Source organism: Homo sapiens, chromosome 4 (genome assembly GCF_000001405.40).
Source record: "Homo sapiens chromosome 4, GRCh38.p14 Primary Assembly".
NCBI classification, from domain to species: Eukaryota; Metazoa; Chordata; class Mammalia; order Primates; family Hominidae; genus Homo; species Homo sapiens.
Genome location: NC_000004.12, coordinates 101,556,310 through 101,558,526, shown reverse-complemented (window position 1 = coordinate 101,558,526; position 2,217 = coordinate 101,556,310). Strand labels below are relative to the sequence as shown.

General features: G+C 37.9%; 1 annotated feature.

Moving 5' to 3' along the window:
- Nucleotides 1,491-1,610: an enhancer, noted in NCBI's record as "active region_21749". NCBI's record gives its function as "activates an Ori minimal core promoter by ATAC-STARR-seq in GM12878 lymphoblastoid cells {active_cell/tissue: GM12878}" and the evidence as "EXISTENCE:reporter gene assay evidence [ECO:0000049][PMID:35858748]".

Below are 2,217 nucleotides of genomic sequence, written 5' to 3'. Positions count from 1 at the left end.
GCCCACTTTTTGATGGGGTTGTTTTTTTCTTGTAAATTTGTCTAAGTTCCTTATAAATTCTGGATATTAGACCTTTGTCAGATATGCAGATTGCAAAAATTTTCTCCCATTCTGTAGGTTGCCTGTTCACTCTGATGCTAGTTTCTTTTGCTGTGCAGAAGCTCTTTAGTTTAATTAGATCCCATTTGTCAGTTCTGGTTTTTGTTGCAATTGCTTTTGGTGTTTTCATCATGAAGTCTTTGCCCATGCCTATGTCCTGAATAGTCAAATGGAAAAACTATCCATGCTCATGGATAGGAAGAATCAATATCATGAAAATGGCCATACTGTCCAAAATAATTTATAGATTCAATGCTATTCCCATCAAACTACCATTGACTTTCTTCACAAAATTAGAAAAAAAACTACTTTAAATTTCATATGGAACCAAAAAAAAGGGCCCATATAGCCAAGACAGTCCTAAGCAAAAAGAACACAGCTGGAGGTATCATGCTACCTGACTTCAGACTATATTACAAGGCTACAGTAAACAAAACAGCATGGTACTGTTACCAAAACAGGCATATAGACCAATGGAACAGAACAGAGACTTCAGAAATAACAACACACATATACAACCATCTGATCTTCGACAAACCTGACAATAACAAGTAATGGGGAAAGGATTCCCCATTTAATAAGTGGTACTGGGAAAACTGGCTAGCCATATGCAGAAAACTGAAACTGGACCCCTTCCTTACACCTTCTACAAAAATTAGCTCAAGATGGATTAAAGACCTTAATGTAAAACCAAAAACCATAAAAACCCTAGAAGAAAACCTAGGCCATTCTGGATCTAGATCTTTTGCAAAACCAGAAGTTCTACTAAAATATTTTTTCTCAAATAAAAGAGCAGTTTTCCTGAGTGACAAATTTTATCAACAGTCGTGGTGCAATAGGCACAGCCTGCAGGCAATGTTCAAATGGCATATTTCTAATCCTGATATAAAATGTTCCTATGATAGTTGTGATAGGAGTACATACAGAATAGAGGAGAAACTGAAAGGAGTTAATAATCAATTCTAACCTGGGTTCTTGAAATGTGAATACAGCAAGCAAATACGGCAAGTTGGTACAACCACATTGGGTGTGTCTCGAAAATTGCAAGCTACTTGGTGCAAGTGGAAAGCACTGGGGAAGTGGGGTGAGGGTGGCCAGCAAGATTCAGATTGTAGAGGGCCTTATATGTCATAATAAATAATTCAGACTTTATCCAGGAAACATGTTCTCCCTTACCAGGCTGCTATTAAAACAATCTGAGGAGCTTTAATAATAAGCTAATTTTGAAAGCCCTGTGATATAATCTGGCTCTGTGTCCCCACCGAAATCTCATCTTGAATTGTAATCTGAATTGCAATCTCAATGTGTTGTGGGAGGGACCTCCTGGGAGGCGATTAGACATGGGGGCAGTCCCCTCATGCTGTTCTCGTGACAGTGAGTTCTCATGAGAGCTGATGGTTTTATAAGGGACTTTCCCCCTTCCCTCTGCACTTCTCTCTCCTGCTGCCATGTGATGAAGGACGTGTTTACTTCCCCTTTCACTGTTATTGTAAGTTTCCTGAGGCCTCCTCAGACATGCAGAACTGTGAATCAATTAAACTTCTTTCCTTTATAAATTGCTCATCTTGGGTATGTCCTTATAGCAGCATGAGAACAGACTAATACAACTTGTAATGGAATTTCAAACTGAATATGAATTACGTGGAAACATATAGCACTGTACAGGATCTGACTAGGTGGTAATAATGTGTTTAATATCAGCATTTAGATATTAGAATAAGATTATTCTAATATATTATTATTAGATTCTAATATATTATTCTATATATATTTGTACTCTTTTAATACTGTTTTGGTGATTTCTGATTTTTATTTTTTTCAAGTCTTTATCATGAGTTTATCTCATATTCATACATATGTATGTATATGTGTACATGCACAAGAATACATGTTCTTCCTTATGACTAAGAGATTTATATAAAATAAAGAATGGGCCAGGCATGGTGGCTCATGCCTGTAATCCCAGCACTTTAGGAGGCCAGGGCATGCAGATCACCAGAGGTCAGGAGTTTGAGACCAGCCTGGCCAACATAGTGAAATCCTGTACTGAAAATACAAAAAATTAGCCAGGCATGGTGGCGCATGCCTGTAGTCCCAGCTACTCAGGAGGCTGAGGCA